The sequence below is a fragment of the Homo sapiens genome, chromosome 8 (assembly GCF_000001405.40).
Source record: "Homo sapiens chromosome 8, GRCh38.p14 Primary Assembly".
NCBI lineage: Eukaryota > Metazoa > Chordata > Mammalia > Primates > Hominidae > Homo > Homo sapiens.
Window position 1 is genome coordinate 98,813,505 of NC_000008.11, and position 19,772 is coordinate 98,833,276.

At 43.0% G+C, this 19,772-nt stretch overlaps 1 protein-coding gene across 21 annotated transcripts in view, besides 2 other annotated features; it reads right to left on the reverse strand.

Annotated features, from left to right (window-relative positions):
• Positions 1–19,772, reverse strand: part of STK3 (serine/threonine kinase 3) — a 598,636-nt gene that overhangs the window by 469,530 nt on the left and 109,334 nt on the right. For 13 of the 21 annotated variants that reach the window (XR_007060753.1, XR_007060752.1, XR_007060755.1 and 10 more), the window contains exon 1: positions 12,011–12,184. The exons of the other annotated variants lie outside the window; for them this stretch is intronic. Coding sequence is in view for 10 of the 13 variants with exons in the window: in XM_047422133.1 (XP_047278089.1) it covers positions 12,011–12,036 (26 nt within the window). In the remaining 3 variants the exon portion in view is untranslated. Of the gene's footprint in view, positions 1–12,010; positions 12,185–19,772 lie in introns of those variants that run through there. 21 annotated transcript variants of the gene reach the window in all.
• Positions 11,751–12,260: a silencer, noted in NCBI's record as "silent region_19398". NCBI's record gives its function as "represses an Ori minimal core promoter by ATAC-STARR-seq in GM12878 lymphoblastoid cells {active_cell/tissue: GM12878}" and the evidence as "EXISTENCE:reporter gene assay evidence [ECO:0000049][PMID:35858748]".
• Positions 12,331–12,670: a silencer, noted in NCBI's record as "silent region_19399". NCBI's record gives its function as "represses an Ori minimal core promoter by ATAC-STARR-seq in GM12878 lymphoblastoid cells {active_cell/tissue: GM12878}" and the evidence as "EXISTENCE:reporter gene assay evidence [ECO:0000049][PMID:35858748]".

Genomic DNA, 19,772 nt, shown 5'->3' on the forward strand with positions numbered 1-19,772 from the left:
AGTCTTGTTTTTCAACTCTATCATACCATTTCCTCTTAAGTTGGGCTCTTTGCCCAAAAGTACTCTAAAATTATAATTTTCTGGCAAGGAGTTTTAAAAGAAGCTGAAATTTTCTCTTCTTCCTTCACCCTTGGACTCTAATTTTTATTATCTAAGAATTTTCTCCACTTATCATAAACTGGAAAGTGATATGATTTCTTTACATTTCTTGTAACAAACCTATACAAAATTAACAAACACTGCAACATACTCCCTATCCCTAAGACATGTTATTACATTCGCTTTCTTAATTACTAATTACTCAAAAATCACAAATTCAGAAAATATAGACAAATTTGAAAATGCTCTAACATATTCACGTCCTATTAAAATAAATTTGAAAATTCCCTAACATATTCATGTTCTAGTAAAATAAAAATTAAAAATAATTTTATTAGAAATATGGACACCTATAAGGCTCATACATTTTAATCCAGTTCGTTGTAAGTATTCTGAAATAACCATACCTAGATTTGAGAACTAAAAAAGGCAACTGAATCTTTAATTGATTTTTTTCTTCTTTTTGAGACGGAGTCTCACTCTGTCGCCCAGGCAGGAGTGCAGTGGCATGATCTCAGTTCACTGCAACCTCCACCTCCTGGGTTGAAGCAATTCTGCCTCAGCCTCCCGAGTAGCTGGGACTACAGGTATCTGCCACCATACCTGGCTAATTTTTTTTGTATTTTTAGTAGAGACAGGGTTTCACCATGTTGGTCAGGCTGGTCTCGAACTCCTGACCTCAGGTGATCCACCTGCCTCAACCTCCCAAAGTTCTGGGATTACAGCCGTGAGCCACCGCGCCCAGCATTTTTTTTTTTTTTTTTTGTCACCCAAGCGCAGTCCAAGCTGGAATGAAGTGGTATAATTACAAGTCACTGCAGCACAACCTCCTAGGCTCAAGCAATCCTCCAACCTCAGCCTCCCAAGTCACTGGGACAAAGGCATGCGCCACCACGCCCAGCTAATTTTTTGTTTGTTGTAGAGACAGGGTCTCACCAGGTCACCCAAGCTGGAGTGCAGTGGTACAATCACAGCCTGCTGCAGCCACAACCCCCCAGGCTCAGGCAATCCTTCCACATCAGCCTCCCATGTAGATGGGACTACAAGCGTGAAACACCACACCTGGCAAATTTTTTTTATTTTTAGTTTACTTTAGTTTGAGACAGGGTCTCACTCTGTAGCCCAGGCTGGGGTGCGGTGGCATGATCATCGCTCACTGGAACCTCAACGTCCCAGGCTCAGGTGATGCTCCCACCTCAGCCTCCTGGCTGTGACCACAGGTGTGCACCACCATGCCCAGCTAATTTTTGTATTTTTTTGTAGAAACCAGGTTTTGCCATGTTGCCCAGGCTGGTCTTGAACTCCTAGACTAAAGCAATCTGCCTGCCTCGGCCTCCCAGGTGCTGGGATTAGTGCATGAGCTACTGCACCCAGCCTAAAATCTGCTCTTATCAACAGTGGTGTTATTTGTCTTGGATTATTTTATTTTCTATCTTTTTCATTTAAAATGACACTAGGTCATCTGAAATATTTAGTGGTGAGAAAAAAGTAAGACTGGGTATTAGGATTATAGTGGGTCAAAGAGCAACCAGAGCAAATAGGAAGAACATAAAGATAAAAGTCTGCTCTGAATAGTCTATATCACGTAATTTGAATTTATATATGCCCAATTTCTGACTCAAACTTAGAAAATAAATGTGTAGTGGAGAGACTATCCAGAGAAAAGAGCTCAAAACCACCAGTGTCATCACTTTTGGCAGAATATCCATAGTTTGAAAGAAAAAATCAGTTATCCTATCTATGAATAAAATGCTATTAAAAATAACAGGATATTAGTTATTAGGATATTAGTCTCCAGGTTAGGATCTTGAAATATCATTTCTTACTAAGAGAAACCACGGCTTTTTGGAGAAATGGATGATTCCAGATCTAGGACAAGAAGTATACAAGATGGGCCCCAAATATCACAGCAGACAACAAGGAAACTATCAAAAACCACTAGGGTCATGTTATCTCCTGAAGAGACTCCCACTAACCAAAGGTGAGACAATTTGCGCTTCAGTGAAAGTGATTCCAATGGATTAAATCCATCAAGTATGTTTAAATCCATCTTCTCATAATGGCATTTAAAAGAAAAAAAAATGGCCACCTTTGGAGAAAGACAGGGAACTAATTCGTTATCTTGAAAACTTGTAAATAAAAGGAAAGAATCAAACATTTATCCTGTCTTTCCTTTATCAACAGTACCACTGGGTAACTAAACAGAAGATGAGGGGAAGTTACTTTTTATAAAAACATTCCAATTAATAAATGAAAGCAAAATGATGTATTTAGAATTTCATTATATTGCAACACCCACTAACCATCCACAGCCGCTAACATCACAAAAAAGAAAGACAATTAGACATTATGATATTCCCATGGTCTTGCCAAACCCCATCTATATATATATATATATCACAATGCCTAAGGGATCGAACTTGAGTCTGCTCCATCTCTGGATCCAGCTGCACGTTTGCAGAAAATACAGAAGACAAAGGAACATGTTGAACTGACCTATATTAAGCAATCAGCAAAATCCAACTCTGGGAAACTAGTACAAACAACCTGGGTTCTCCAACAGGAAAAGGAAAAGGATGGAGGACTAAACTAAAGATTAAAAGTGACAACTCATATCAAAACTGCTTTTTGGGCTGGGTGCTGTAGCTCATGCCTATAATCCCAACACTTGGGGAGGCCAAGGCAAGACCACTTGAGCCCAGGAGTTCAAGACCAGCCTAAGCAACATGGCAAGACCCCATGTCTACAAATACACAAATTACCTGGGCATGGTGGCCAATGCCTATAGTCCCAGCTCCTCAGAAGGCTGAGGCAGGAGGATCCCTTGAGCCCAGGAGGGTCAGGCTGTAGTGAGCTGAGATTGCACTACTGCACTCCAGCCTCAGTGACAGGGCAAGATCCTGTCTCAAAAAACAAACAAACAAACAAACAAACAAAACACAACCTAGAGACAGTGTTTCCCTCTTGTTGCCCAGGCTAGAGTGCAATGGTGCAATCTCAGCTCACTGCAACCTCCACCTCCTGGGTTCAAGGGATTCTCCTGCCTCAGCCTCCCGAGTAGCTGGGATTACAGGTGCCTGCCACCATGCCTAGCTAATTTTTGTATTTTTAGTAGAGATGGGGTTTTGCCATGTTGGTCAGGCTGGTCTTGATCTCCTGACCTCAGGTGATCTACCCACCTCGGCCTCCCACAGTGCTGGGATTACAGGTGTGAGCCACCGTGTCTGGCCAAAACTTACTATTTCTTAATCATCAAGACTAACCTACAGTATCTAGCAATGCACATTTGGGTTATTACTACACAAGTCAGGAAAATGATTACTTATAGGGAAAGGCCACTGTGATCTATTTCTCAACCTGAGGGGTGATTACAAAGGTATCTGCCTTATAATAATTCACCAAGCCATACATGTGTTCTGTACTAATGTTTTATTTTGCAATAAAAAGATTTTTTTTAAAATAGCAGGTTACCAGCACACCTGAACATGTCAACACCTAAAAACGGCTAGATATGTTTTCCATTCTCTACTCTAACTGAGTGAAAACAATAGGATAAAAATAGAAATCAGGCCGGGCATGGCGGCTCATGCCTTTAATCCCAGCACTTTGGGAAGCCGAGGTGGGTGGATCACCTGAGGTCAGTAGTTCGAGACCAGACAGGCCAATATGGTGAAACCCCATCTCTACTAAAAATACAAAAATTAGCTGGGTGTGGTGGCACACGCCCGTAGTCCCAGCGGCTTGGGAGGCTGAGGCAGGAGAATTGCTTGAACCTATAAGGCGGAGGTTGCAGTGAGCCAAGATTGCACCATTGCATTCCAGCCTGGGCGACAGAGCAAGACTCCATCTCAAAAAAAAAAAAAAAATAGAAATCAGTGTGCATCATTTCCTCCCTACCCACTTCCTCTTCTAAAGGAACCACTTAATATCACATTTTAGGCCAATCAGATTCACTTTCTTGGGATTATGAAATTCCAAGAAAGAGACTATAGATATCCAAACCTGTTCTCCCGGTCTTTCCTCATTCCCCAAGTTGTTTCAATTCAAAACATAGGAGCCAGGATTGATTCTTTTTTTCCCCTCATTCCCCACATCTAGTCTATCAGCAAGTCCTTCATTTATAACTCCAAAATATCGCAAATCTCTCAACTTCTATCTCCACTGACTCTACCATCTCAAATCACAAACTATTCAAATAGTTTCCTAACTTGTTTCTCTTTTATTCTTAACCCTCTACAATCTACTCTACCCAAAGCAGCCAAAAGGATGTTTTAAAAACATAAACTGCTTAAAAACCTTTAATGACAGCACACAGAGCTCTGACTTAAATCCAAATTCCTTTCCATGGCCGGCATCATTGAATCCGTGCCCATCTCTCTGAGCTCATCTCTAGCCACTGTCCTCTTCTCCAATCCAGGCACACTGGTGTCATTTCAATTCCTCCCACACATTAAGCTCTTTCCCACCTCCAGGCCTTCTCATAGCTTTCCCCCCTGCCTGGAATACTTTTCCCTTGCTACTCACATGGATAACTTCTCAATGTCAGGTTACAACTTAAATATCACCTTCTCAGAGAAGCCTCTGCCAACTGCCCTATTAAGCAGGTTTCACCATCTTTCTCTACACACTACTTATATCTTTCATAGCTCAAGCTACAACAAGAGTGTATGTTATATGAGGGCAAAGAACCCACCTGTTTCATTCACCAATGAGCATCTGGAATGTGGAAAACAATTAATAATTACTGAATGTATGAATAAATGAGGAAATGAATGAAGTAAAGGCCGAATGCCAATTTTGCCATGAGTAGTGATCAGTAAGTAAAGAAAGCCAGTTTTCAGAAAGAACAGAGCAACACAACAGAGAACAGGAGACTATGTGGCTTGGTTCCATAAACAGAGTCAAGAAAATTAGCTGCCAATTATAAATTATAAATGTGTGTGTGTGTGTGTGTGTGTGTGTGTGTGTGTATCAAGATAGCAGAAACATCTGAAAAATTTACTCAATTCACCTCTATACTAAGATGTCTGGTATTATATAAATCTATAAACTAATTCAGAACTCAAAATAATACTACCTAAACTAATTATCATTAATGTTAACACTTTGTAATTCTCATTTTGCTATGAGTCATTTTTCAAGATATACTCCTATGATGTACTTTCAGAAATTCAAGGTAATCTTCATGTCGATATTCACGGTATGTATGCAAACAATGAATTTTTTTTGTTGTTTTTTTGAGACGGAGTCTCTGTCGCCCAGGCTGGAGTTCGGTGGCGCAATCTCGGCTCACTGCAAGCTCCGCCTCCCAAGTTCACACGATTCTCCTGCCTCAGCCTCCCAAGTAGCTGGGACTACAGATGCCCGCCACCATGCCCGGCTAATTTTTTGTATTTTGTTTAGTAGAGACAGGGTTTCACCATGTTAGCCAGGATGGTCTCGATCTCCTGACCTCATGATCTGCCCACCTCAGCCTCCCAAAGTGCTGGGATTACAGGCGTGAGCCACCGTGCCCAGCCCAATGAACGTTTTTGAGACAGGGTCTTGCTCTGTTGCCCAGGATGGAATGCATCCACACAATCATGGCTCATTGCAGCCTCAATCTCCTGAGCTCAAGCAATTGTCCCACCTCTACCTCCCATTTATGTAAATGTGTGGGTCTGTACTGAGTCTCAGTATCAATGAATTTTTTTTTTTAAATGTTGAAAGCCAGTAATATATGATGGCCTGAAGTGTTCCTAGAGTCAACTAAAGACTGAGTTTCTCTAGTTGACATGCAACAGAAGTTTGTTTACCGGAAGTATTGCAAATTTTATTGTCGCACTCCCTCTCTCCAAGAAGGAAGAGCCAACTGACTATTCCCATCAGCACGGCCTAAAGCAATCCTAATCAAGTTAATGCCACCCTAAATTAACCAAGAAAAGCCAAAGGGAAGACAGCAGATGCTTTAGGGACCAAGTTGTTAATTCAGAGATGCTCCTGTTTGGTTGGTTCTTTTCCCCTTGGACTAACTACTTTGAATATTTTGTCCACTTGCCTACCTCTAGAATTGGAAATTTTCCCTAGGGCCTTCCTCTGAGTCTGCTGGGGTTTTTTTAAGAGTTCTTAGAGTTCATCTTCTCAAAGACAACTCCAGCTCTCTATTTAGTCAATCTCTCTGATATACACACAATTTTACTTTCCAACATTCCAAGGAAACATAAATTAGAAATATACACATAAAATGACATCCACCCCTCTTCTCCCTGCAATAATATCTTTGTGATATTCCTACTATCTACTTAACTGGTGTGTTGCTTTCTCTCACCCACTTCCATTCATAAGCGCTGAGAGTTATCTGCTATCTCTCTCCATTCCTAATTCCTGGCCTGAGATCCGGGCTACAGATGCTACAAGTTGATGTGGGCTCTTCATGCTGAAGAATTCATGAGTACTTTCTGCTTAACTCCTCTATATTCTCAACCCGATCCCTTTGCTTTTTCTTTCCATAATAATCTGTTTTCTGATGGGTAATCCATCCAAACACTCATTTGCCCTTATGAAATTAGTGTTTTCTAGCTTTCCATTTGCGTGAAGGACCCCTAACATATGACTTCAACCTTCAATTTTATTTCCCCCAAACTACCCTTTCACACTATTAAAAATAATAATAAAAAATTGCCACAGAATCCAACTATAGCTTAAATTAAAGAACTCACCTGTCTTGAGAGTAAGTATGCTTCAATAGCTTATTCTTTTACTATCCTTTTAGTGTTTTCATTGTTCAATGCTAACCTGCCCTCCAACCATACCTTAATCAACGAATTACACATTTTAAATAACTACTAACACTATAACCTATTTGAGGAACAAGCCTATCTGGTAAAGTGTCTCACTCCAGCAGTGATATTCTGTCCTCTCTTTGACAAGTATTAAATATATTTTCATGCTGCCCACCTGTCTATCATAGAGACCCACCTCCCTTCTATGAAGGTTCCACCTGGTGAAGAGCCCATGTTTTCTGGTCATTTACCTTTCTACCTATCAAAGCTGGACTATTATGTGGTCATTTTTCTCTCAGCTAGCAGTTCCCCTATAAAAAATCCAATAAATTCGGCTGCGCGGTAACTCAAGCCTGTAATCCCAGCACTTTGGGAGGCCAAGGCGGGTGGATCACGAGGTCATGAGATCGAGACCATCCTGGCTAACACGGTAAAACCCCATCTCTACTAAAAATACAAAAAAGTTAACCTGGTGTGGTGGCAGGCGCCTGCAGTCCCAGCTACTCAGGAGGGTGAGGCAGGATAATGGCGTGAACCTGGGAGGCGGAGCTCGCAGTGAGCCGAGATTGTGCCACTGCACTCCAGCCTGGGCAACAGAGCAAGATTCCACCTCAAAAAAAATAATAAAATAATAAAATAAATCCAACAAATTCCATCTAACCAAAATGCTAATTAATGATCATTTAATAAAGGAGTCCCCAACTCCTTTACAGCACAATACAGTGGACCAGTACTGGTCCATGGCCTGTTAGGAACCAGGCAACACAGCAGGAGGTGAGCTATACGCGAGCATTACCGCCCTTGCTCTGGGCTCCAGCTCCTGTCAGATCATCAGTAGCATTAGATTCTCATAGGAGTGCGAACCCTATTGTGCTGTGCATGCAAGGAATCTAGGTTGCACGCTCCTTATGATAATCTAACTATTGCCTGATGATCTGAGGTGGAAGTTTCATCCTGAAACCATTTCGCCCCCAACCAAACCATCTGTGCAAAAATTGTTTCCCACGAGACTGGTCCCTGGTGCCAAAATGGTTGGGGATCTATGATTTAATGAATTTCCCTTCCCAGAGGGAAATCCTTTTAATAACGACTTTGGCCAGCTTGGGCAACATGGCAAGACCTCATCTCTACAAATTAAAAAAAAAAAAAATTAGGTATGGTGGTGCGTGCTTGTGGTCCCAGCTAATCAGGGAGGCTGAGGTGAGAGGATCACCTGAGCACAGGGAGGTCAAGGCTGCAGTGAGCCATGATTGTGCCACTGCACTCCAGCCAGGGCGATAGAGTAAGACCCAATCTCAAAAAAAAAAAAAAAGTTAAAAAGAAAAAAAAGGACTTCTGAAGACCTCAGTGACAAGTATGTTAACGAAATCTAAGGAATCTAAAAACTACTCTGGTACCTCAAGTTGGTGACATGGGTGACCACATCTATTGCCTATGTTTAACACAAACCTTGTTAAGGAGACCAAATCAATGAATATGAGGGTGAGAGGTGCCTTAAAAATCATCTAGGTCTCTGAGTCATGATTCTTGAACTGGGCTACACACTGGAATCTCCAACTCCCAGAGGAGAAGAAGATGCCCAAAGAAGCAAATTTCAAAGTCAGTGACAAGGCCAGGCCTAATACCCATGCCTAACATTATGTGTTGATATGTGTACATACATACATATATATATACACACACATACATACACACACACACATACACACACACATATATATGTAACATACTAAAAATATAAAGGCATGTATGGGAAGGACAAATATCCAATTCATGTCAGTGATTACCTTTTGGGGGATGGGAAGGGAGTGTAATTGAGAAGAAATACACATGGTGGCTTCAAATGTATTGGTAATATTTTTATTAATATTTCTTAAACTGGATGGTAATACCTAAGTATCTATTAAATTAGGCTCTGTTCTTTTTTCTTTTTGTTTTGTTTTTATTTTTATTTTTGTTTCTTTGAGACAGGGTCTCACTTTGTCATCCAGGATAGAGTGCAGTGGCACAATCATAGCTCACTGAAACCTCCCACTGCTGGGCTCAAGCAATCCTCCCACCTCAGCCCCACAAAGTGCTGAGATTACAAGGCGTGCACCATCGCAGTAGGCCCTCATTATCTTCTGGATATCTAAAATTTTGTAATAAAATAGAATAAAAAGATGGTATATAATCAAATGTATATCACATTAGGAATTCAGTGAAATATCTCAGGCTAGAAAGTACTCAGAAAACATACTTGATGAGGTAGGCTTTGATGGAAGAATAAAACATAGATTATTCTTCAGGCAAAAAGTAACACAAACTTTTCTAAAGGAAAAATGTGAATAAAGGTAAAGCTGGGAGTACCCACAGCCTATAACATAAATAAAGAACAACGGGGGCCAGGCACGGTGGTTCATGCCTGTAATCCCAGCACTTTAGGTGGCCGAGGCAGGTGGATCATCTGAGGTCTGGAGTTGGAGACCAGCCTGGCCAACATGGCGAAACGTTGTCTCTACTAAAACACAAAAATGAGCTGGGCGTGGTGGCGCCCGCCTGTAATCCCAGCCTCTCAGGAGGCTGAGGGACGAGAATCGCTTGAATCAGGATGCCAGAGGTTGCAGTGAGCCGAGATTGTACCCCTCCATCTCAAAACAAAACAAAATAGTTTTGAAAACCACTGGACTAAAGCGTCCAGCTAGAAGGTACTGCTGCAATTCAAAAGTGAGGGTCATAAAACCATGGAATGGGTTTTATGGGGTAGTACTCTTGAGAAAGAAAACAGAAAAAATTAATCCACCAACTTTTTAATAGAAAATTTGATAGGCTATAGTGACAAACTAGATGGGATAATGAAAGAGTAAGACCTACCTGAAAAAATAAAAAATGCCAACTGAGCAGCAGCTTCTAGTCATACTTGAACATCAACGACATCGATAAGGCCATGTAAAAGTCAGCACTAAGGAAGTGTTATTCAAGGCAGAAAAGCAAAATGGCACTTTTATAAGGATTAAGAGCAGAATAAGCAACAGAGACCAGGAGATTACAGAAAAAGAGGACCACTACATCATGGAATGATAAGAAAGAGAGTTTCAAAAAGAGCCATCACTGTATACAACAAGAGGGTGCACAGCCTTTGTAGCCAATCAGATGCAGAATTCTGGCACTTTCTCCACTTGACCAAGTTATTTAACGTCTTTGAGCCTCATATAATAAGGAAAACATAAGTTAACAACTAACACTGTTGAACACATAGGGGCTTCAAATATATTTGTCAAATTTTATTTCTTAAGCTCAGTCGTGATACATAAATATTTATTAAATTAGTCCCCATTATCTTTTGTTGTTTTTGTTTTGTTTTTGTTTTTTTGAGACAGGGTCTCGCTCTGTCCCAAGTGCTTTACATATCACCTCATTTAATCCCCACAATACATTTCACAGATGAAGAAATTAAACTTAGAACTAGCATAATAAGTAGCAGAGCCAGGATTACTATTTCTTAGGATTTAAATAATGTATACTTAAATTTCCTGGCAAACAGGATGACCTCAAAACGAGTAGCTATATTTCATTATTAGGAGATAATAATCAATAGGGGCAAAACTGCCAGTAATTCCTGTCATAGCCTTCCATGTGGCAAACTCTCTCAACATCCTCATCTATAAATTAGGATTAATGCCTATAATCCAATCTACTCCATAGGGTTGCTGTGAGGATTAAATATTATGAATATGAAAATTCTATAAAAAATGTTGAGACATTCAAATATCAGGGATTGCTGTCACATATCTTTCGCCTTCAAAAATGCTTTTGCGGCATTTTTGTTCACTACTTCAAAATAAGACTCTGAATAAGCTAAAAATAAGTCTGTTAAAAGTGCAACCACCACTTTGAAAAGTATAAATCACCACAGAATTGCTGCCTACACCTGCCCCTGACTCCTCCAGGTTCTCTAATGTCTCCACAAGGGCAAGGATTCTCTTACACCTATAATGAAACTCTGATAACTTACAGTACAGCTAATCAATAGAGAGCTGCACTTCAATTCAGAGTTGTTCAAACTGGACTACTGTGTTTTCTCAGAGGTGCTCCTTCCAGTTCTTCCAGAAAAGAAAAAAGTGCCCAATTCTCTTATATTGTATTAAAACGGTGCCCAATGAGTAGAATGCAGGTAACTTACAAAATGCTAGAAAAGAATCTATCAATTGACTTGCTCAAGTGCTCTGACAGCAGGTCCCTTTTGGAAACTCCTTCACGACCCCCCCTTTTTTTCACCTGAACAGATGGCTTCCAGGCTTCAAGGCTCACATGTCTAGTCACACAATTCACAATAGCTCCCAAAGTTCCTAACTTTTCAATTATCCCATGTTCTTGAACACACCTTTCATCTAAAGATCTCTAGCTGTCAAAGCATACGAACTCTTTAATCTTCACAACAGCACTATCTGAGAGATTACTATCCTTATTTTATAAGTTAAAAATGAAAGACTGAGGTTAAATATTTTAGCAACATCAAACAATTCGTTAATTCATTCTTGGGGAGAGAGGAATACATATTATGAACTTCTGTCAATGGACAACCTAGATTTGGCTTCCTAAGATCATTGCAAATATTAGCTCAAACACATCCCACTCTTGTATGCATACATTTCCAACACAGGTGTCAAAGATTAAATATAAACTATTAATAACAGTAAATACCATACCAAAGCAGCACTATTTTTACACGCAAAACTATATTGGGGGAGGGGGTTCTAATTTAAACTTCCCACTGTCTTGCATCCATAAATACTTTTGAACTTGAGGGGGAAGGGGGAAGAACACCTGTCAGAGCAGCACATCCACAATGTTTTACAGACTGTGTAGCTATTAATATTTAATTCCTCCCGCCCCGGGAGGTCAGGCCGCAGGGAGCCCGGCGCTGCCCACCCGACTTTCCACGCGCCAGGCCTGCCGGCCGCAGGGGAGGCTCCGGCTCCCGCTCCCCTCAGGTCCCCTCGCCCGTGGACAGACGCGGCGGGACACTCGGACCCGCCTCCCGACCTCAGCGCGCCCGGCTCGGGGCCCGGCGGGCGGGGAGAGGCTCGCAGCAGGGCCTGGCCTAGCCACCCCCGCCCCGCGGCCGCCGGCGCCGCTTCCCTCCTTCTTCCCGCTCCCCGATTCGTTACCTCTTAGGCGCCGGCGGCTGCTCCATGGCGGCCGGGGACAGAGAGAGGGACCTGGTGGACGGCGAAGGCCGAAAGGAGGAAAGGAGCCGGGGCACCGGCCGGCCGAGCCTAGGGCACCACAGAGGGAAACTCTGGGAACTCGGACCAACTTTCCCGTAACTCCGCGGCGGATCTCCCTCCCGCTTAGGAGCGCGGCTCCTCCCGCCCCGCCCCGCCCCCGGCCGCCCCGCCCCGCCCCCGGCCGCCCCGCCCCGCCCCCGGCCGCCCCGCCCCGCCCCCGGCCGCCCCGCCCCGCCCCCGGCCGCCCCGCCCCGCCCCCGGCCGCCCCGCCCCGCCCCCGGCCGCCCCGCCCCGCCCCCGGCCGCGCCGGCCGCCAGCCTGCGGCGGCGGCCCAGAGAAGGTGGACGGAGCCGGGCACCGCGGCGGGGGGCGGAGCCTGCCGCGGCCTGGGTTGGCGGGCGGGGCCGGTGCCGCGGCGGGTGGGCGGGGCCGGGGACGAAGGCCTGGCTGGCCCCAGAGCCCCGTGACCGGGAAAAGGAGAAGGTTCCGCTAGAGCTAGGGGGCGAGGCCGGAGCCGCTCTAGGCTGGGGAAGGGCAAGTCCCTCTGAGCTGGCCCAGAGCTCCGCCCCTAGCCTGCCCTCACTACGGTTTGCCCTGATCCAATTTGACTCATTTCTTTGGCTTTCCCAACGACACATCCTAACATCGTGTGAATCCGTTTGAAGTATTACTTTCTCACTGCCCACGCTTCCCTCTCTAGTTCTGTTTATAATTATCGGTTATGTTTTCCCCCAGCCATTTGACATGTGTAGGCCACAGTACTAGGGATACTTCTGGAAATTCTTGTTTGATTTTTATTGTGGACAAGCTCCTCGCTACATTTCACAATAATTACATCTAATTACCGAGAAAATAATTCGTACAGTGAGATCTCTCGGTACACCAAATTCAGTTGCACTGGGCCCTTGCAGCTGTCCCATTGGGTAACCTGGCAAGCCTGTCACAAATTATGCTGCCAGGAAGAATACTCAAGAAAAGTTTGTTTCCTCCCCTCTTTGGTCCTCTCCCCCAACCTGATTCCAGCAGCCCTCATCCCATTGTAATCTGACCACTGCATGCATCCATATTGTGGGTATACTTTTAACCTTAAATTCCATATATACCTTTCACATAACAATATACAGCTGCTACATGAGTTTACTTGTTTTTGTCAGAAATTGTCAAGATGGGCCGGGCGCGGTGGCTCACGCCTGTAATCCCAATACTTTGGGAGGCCAAGGCGGGCGGATCACTTGAGCTCAGGAGTTCAAGACCAGCCTGGCCAACATGGTGAAACCTCGTCTCTACTAAAAATACAAAAGTTAGCCGGGCCTGGTGATGCGCCTGTACTCCCAGCTGCTTGGGAGGCTGAGGCAAGAGAATCACTTGAACCCGGGAGGCAGAGGTTGCTTTTAACCTTAAATTCCATATATACCTTTCACATAACAATATACAGCTGCTACATGAGTTTACTTGTTTTTGTCAGAAATTGTCAAGATGGGCCGGGCGCGGTGGCTCACGCCTGTAATCCCAATACTTTGGGAGGCCAAGGCGGGCGGATCACTTGAGCTCAGGAGTTCAAGACCAGCCTGGCCAACATGGTGAAACCTCGTCTCTACTAAAAATACAAAAGTTAGCCGGGCCTGGTGATGCGCCTGTACTCCCAGCTGCTTGGGAGGCTGAGGCAAGAGAATCACTTGAACCCGGGAGGCAGAGGTTGCAGTGATCCGAGATCGCGCCACTGCACTCCAGCCTGGGTGACAGAGCAGACCTTGTCTCAAAAAAGAAAAAGAAAGAAAGAAATTGTCAAGATGTAGAGTTACATAGAATTTTCTTGGAGGTTAGAACAATAAATATGAAGAGAATGTTAAATAAAGGAAACCAATTTGAAGAGAATGTTGAATAATGTGAATATTTGCCCAAATTAAACTTGACTATTAGCAGCTAATACAAGTTTAGTTTAGTCCTCTTTTTGCATTATTTTAAGTTTCACTATGTAATAAACTTACACTATTTTCAAACCATTATATTCTTTCCTAAATTTAGTTATTTTAAGACCATTCATTTTTGAAACTCTAATTCTGAGAACAAGAAAAAGGGTTTTTTTTGTTTTGTTTTTTTGAGACAGGTTCTCACTGTTCCCCAGGCTGGAGTGCAGTGGTGTGATCATGCCTCACTGCAGCCTCAACCTCCCGGGCTCAAGCAATCTTCCCACCTCTGCCTCCCAAGTAGCTAGGACTACAATGCCCGGCTACAAAATTTTATACTTGTTTGCATTTATTAAAGATCCACAGTCTGACTGTTCAGAAATAACAGGACAACAACAATTTTAAAACCTAAATATTTAAAATGTTAAAGCTGAGAAGAATCTTTGAAATTACTCCACTCTAACCCCCCCAACTCTCATCTTCACTTCCATGCCATACTCCCAGCTTTTTTTTTTTTTCTTTCACTCTTGTTGCCCAGGCTTGAGTGCAATGCCGTGATCTCAGGTCACTGCAACCTCTGCCTCCCTGGTTCAAGAGATTATCCTGCCTCAGCCTCCCTAATAGCTGGGATTACAGGCACCCGCCACCACGCCCAGCTAATTTTTCGTGTTTTTAGTAGAGACAGGGTTTCACTATGTTGGCCAAGCTGGTCTTGAACTCGTGACCTCGGGCAATCCACCCACCTCAGCCACCCAAAGTGCTGTGATTACAGGCATGAGCCACTATGCCAGGCTCACTCCCATCTTTTTGTGTTTCATCAGAGAAACCTCTTGAGGAAGGCTGGGCGAGGTGGCTCACACCTTCAACCCCAACACTTTGGGAATCCAAGGCAGGCAGATAGCTTGAGCCCATGAGTTCGAGACCAGCCTGGGAAACATGGTGAAACCCATCTCTACAAAAAAAAAAAAAAAAAAAAAAAAAAAACAAAAGAAATAGCTGGGCATGGTGGCATGCACCTGTAGTCCCAACTACTAGGCTTCAGTGAGCCATGATCAAGCCACTGCACTCCAGCCTGAGCAATAGAGTGAGACCCTGTTTCAAAAGAAAGAAAAGAAAGAAAGAAAGAGAGAGAGAGGGAGGGAGGGAGGAAGGAAGGAAAGAGAGAAAGAAAGAAAGAAAATAAATGATCCCTGAATTGTTTTACCAACAGCAATCTCCAGGGAGCCTTTCCCAGTCAAACCACCAGCATCATCACCCACTATCTGTCACATTTAAGTTGTGATAGAGATACTGTCTTGTATATATGTCCGTAGTACCCTGTGTTGGCTTTTGTATGAAACTTGTCACACTATATTGAAGTTCTGTTTATTAGGCTGTCATCCCAACCCAACTATGAGTTGATTGAAAGTTGAGCCATATCTTTATTCTCTATACCTTGCATAGCAAGTGCCTGATAAATCGTAAGGGCACTGGGCTGGATAGCATCCTTTTGGTCCTGCAGATTCATTCTCCATCCTTTTCCATCTGCTCTCTGCTCTGAGAGCTAATATGTATGGCTGACATCAGAAGCCCCTTGGCTTATGGTTGGGTCTGATGATAGACCCAGCAAGAGATCATCTGAGGGAGAAAGGAGGGTGAGGTCAGACTATTGGATGCCCTGGTTCCCTTCCTGTGAGGTGACCTAGGGCTAGCTGTGTTCCAGAGAATCATGGCTCTTTGCAAGGCAAACTACTCTACCTAATTATTCCTCCTTCCCCTTGACCCTTTGGGCCTGAGTATCATGGCTGCTCTGCTATTCCCTGGGTTTCTTCTCTATGTCCTATGTTCCCCTAACCTCAATCCTCAACTGATGCTTTGTAAATTAAACTCTTTTCAATTGACACTAATTTGATTGCACCTTCTAAAGGGCTTATGATCTTGACTGATACACCCATAAAGAATTGTGGAAGTAGGAGGAATACTATCAGAAAATAAATTTCTGAGGTCTTTCCTCAACTTGAAAAGGGAGAAGACTAATAATTATCATACGACTCCAATAGGATCAGACACTAGGCCTCCATTTTCTCATTAAACCCTGAAAACAACCTTGTGAAGTAGTTATTTCCATTTTATAGGTGAGAAAACTGAGGTTCAAAAGTGTGAAAGGAGTTACCCTAGGATAAACAGAATGTCTGTGTTCTAATCCAGGCCTTTAAGACTCCAAAGCTGGAACTTATTCCACTGTAGATCAGTCAACAAATATTTATTGAGCACTTAAGTATGCCAGGCACTGTTCTAGGTGCTGGATATTCATCAGTAAAGAAAAGAGACAAATAGACAAAAATCCCTGCCTTCAGGGGATTTACATTCTGGTTGGGGAAACATAATAAGATAAAAAAGTACCTAATGGGTCATGTTAGAGATTGAAAACTGGTAAGGAAGAAAAGTGAAATGGAAAAAGGGAATATAAAGTGGAGGGGAAGAGGCCGGACGTGGTGGCTCATGCCTATAATCCCAGCACTTTGGGAGGCCAAGGTGGGCGGATCACTTGAGGTCAGCAGTTTGAGACCAGCTTGGCCAACATGGTGAAACCCCGTCTCTACTAAAAAAATACAAAAATTAGCTGGGTGTGGTGGTGGGCACCTGTAGTCCCAGCTACTCAGGAGGTCAAGGCAGGAGAATGCGTGAACCTGGGAGGCAGAGGTTGCAGTGAGCCAAGATTGCGCCACTGCACCCCAGCCTGGACAACAGAGCAAAACTCTGCCTCAAAAAAATAAAAAGTAAATAAAAATAAAGTGGAGGGGAAGGGATGAAATTCAGGTAGGATGGCAAAGGAAGGCCTCAACGAGAGAGTGACTAAGGAAGTGGAGGCCAGAGCCATGCAGATAGCATGAATGTGAGGCCAAGGGAATGTTAGAATGTGAGGCCAAGGGAACAATAAGTGCTAAGGCCCAGAGGCAGGACTGTGCCTGGTGTGTTGTGTGTTACTCAATAAAGGAATTGTTTTTCTCCTGAATTACTTAGAAGAAGAAAAAAAAATGCTTCAAGCTTCTGTTTTACTTTGTCTGTTGAAAACCAACCTGAAGATTCCAGGAAGAAAGCATAGAAGTCACCATTCAAACTGCAAATAAGAGGCAGCAGCATTCATGAACAAAGGAAAGCTGCAGGAACATTTGAGATACAGGTAAGGGTCACCCAGCTTCACTTAACTGTGAAAGTAAGGTAATCGGCCAGGCGCGGTGGCTCACGCCTGTAATCCCAGCACCTTGGGAGGCCGAGGCGGGCAGATCACGAGGTCAGGAGATCGAGACCATCCTGGCTAACAAGGTGAAACCCCATTTCTACTAAAAATACAAAAAATTAGCCAGGCGTGGTGGTGGGCACCTGTACTCCCAGCTACTCGGGAGGCTGAGGCAGGAGAATGGCGTGAACCCGGGAGGCGAAGCTTGCAGTGAGCCGAGATAGTGCCACTGCACTCCAGCCTGGGCGACAGAGCAAGACTCTGTCTCAAAAAAAAAAAAAAAAAAAAAAGGAAAGTAAGGTAATCTGTTTCTGCTTCCAACAGCTCCATTTGGAATCGAGATTAAATATACACTTTAATTATACTAGCAAACAGCTGATTACAATTCTCAGTTGAGTGCTCTAAGAGAAATGGGAAAGAAATCTGCAATTTGAGATCCAGTGCCTTTGAATAACAAAAAGCATACGTTCTTTGTAACTGAATACGTACACCACCATGTTTAAAATATTAAGATAGAAACATATTAAGGTAAAAATTTTTCCTTGTCATACTAGTTGCAGCTATTCATTGAAACTACAACTTTGTATTTCTCTTAGGCTGGAGTGTAGTGACACAATCAAAGCCCACTACAACCTTGAACTCCTAGGCTCAAGGAATCCTCCTGCCTCAGCCTCCCAAGTAGCCGGGACTATAGGCATCCACCACCATGCCCAGCTAAGTTTACTTTTGAGTTTTGTAGAAACAGAGGTCTCACTATGTTACCCAGACTGGTCTCGAACTCCTGGTCTCAAGCAATCCTCCCACCTTAGCCTCCCATAGTGCTGGGATTATAGGTATGAGCCGCCATGGCCAGCCTCATTTTTATATTTGTTGGAAAAATAATATCAATTAACAAATGTTAATTAATCTTTTCTGCTATAATAAGGAACAGTTTGGGGAAGAGAGAAATCACTAATCAAATATATTGTGTAGGTTTTTATTTGCAGGAAAATTTGGAAATGTTTTCCTTCAAGAGGTAACTTTACAAAACATTTTCTCTTGATCTGTTTCTCTTTTCTAACTTAGTTTTATAGTTAGTTTGAAACTAGCATGTTGCATTTGAATTTAACCACTGTCCTCCTTTATCATAACAATCTTAAACTATTATTTAACTTGTTTCTCAGACCACACTGTGAACCTCTTGGGAATAAGGACAGTATCTTCTTCCTATTTGTCATGTCAGGAGTCTAGCATAACTATTAGCTACAAGTAACAACTCAAAATGATTTTTAAAACAAGAAGACTAGAAGGAGGTGTTTCTAGGTTTGAATAATTCTTCAATTTACTTCCATTTCTTGTTGTTGATTTAAGAATCACAAGGTTCATAAATTTGGAGTGGAGAGCTTTATTTGTTGTAAAAGGTTGCAGCCTGCAGGCTGGCCATCCCACAATCTGGGAAGCATAGCCTCTGTCAGAAACCGGAAGCAGGCATTTTAAAGAAGGAAGAATGAGACGGATTGGCTAAGTGTACATATTCAATAGGTTATAGTGCCTCCTTTTCGTGAAAAAAAAAAAATATATATATATATATAGATATCTATATATATATTCACAAAGGCAGACACTCACATGCACAATAAGCAAACATGCATATTATATATGTCCCATGTTCACTTTGGGGTGGAGATTTAACATTTACATGCATTAAAATTAAGCTATATACTTCAAAAGGTGAAACCGAAGACACAGAGGCATCCTGTGTGCATCCTCTGTAAATCAGCCACAACCAATCCATGGTGGTCACTTACCAGAAAGGAATGCTGGTCAGTTGTATTGTCAAAACCACAAAAAAAGGAGTCCAGCAAGTCTTTCAAAAGGAATAGTTCCTGTTTAACTCAGGAAAGAAAGTCTAAAGGCAATTAGCAAGGGAAGAAGTATAATGAGGTATGTCTGACCGCCTATCCTGTCATGGCTGGGAATTTAGTTTTTAAGGTTTCTCTGGGGTCCCCTTGGCCAAGGGGGGGTCCATTCAGTTGGCTGCGGGGCCTAGGATTTAATTTCTATTTCTCACTGCTCTGCTGTGCACAGCAGACCTAGTTGTCTCCTCAAACTATCTCCCTCCCCTCAGAGGACAAATATGGCCACCAATGTTCCAGGCCTTACATGGAGACATGACAATGCCCAGCACCAGAAGATAATTAGTTATTTCTGAATACAACTTTTATAAGATGGTAGGAAAAGTCTATTCCAGAAGCCCCTCTGCAGACTTCCCTACATGTCCTATTGGCTAGAAATGTGTCACAGACATGTTGATGAAAAATGCCAAACTGTGTAAAATATTTGAAGAGGTTTATTCTGAGCCAAATGTAAGGACAATGACCTCAGGAGGTCCTGAGAATACGTGCCCAAGGTGGTTGGGTTACGCTTGATTTTACACACTTTAGAGAGACAGAAACTACAGGCAAAACCATAAATCAATATACATAAAGTTTATATTGGTGTGGCCTGGAAAGGCTTCTCAAAGTTGGGGGGTGCAGGGGGAGGGTTCCAGGTCATAGGAGGATCCAAAGATTTTCTGATTGACAATTGGTTGAAA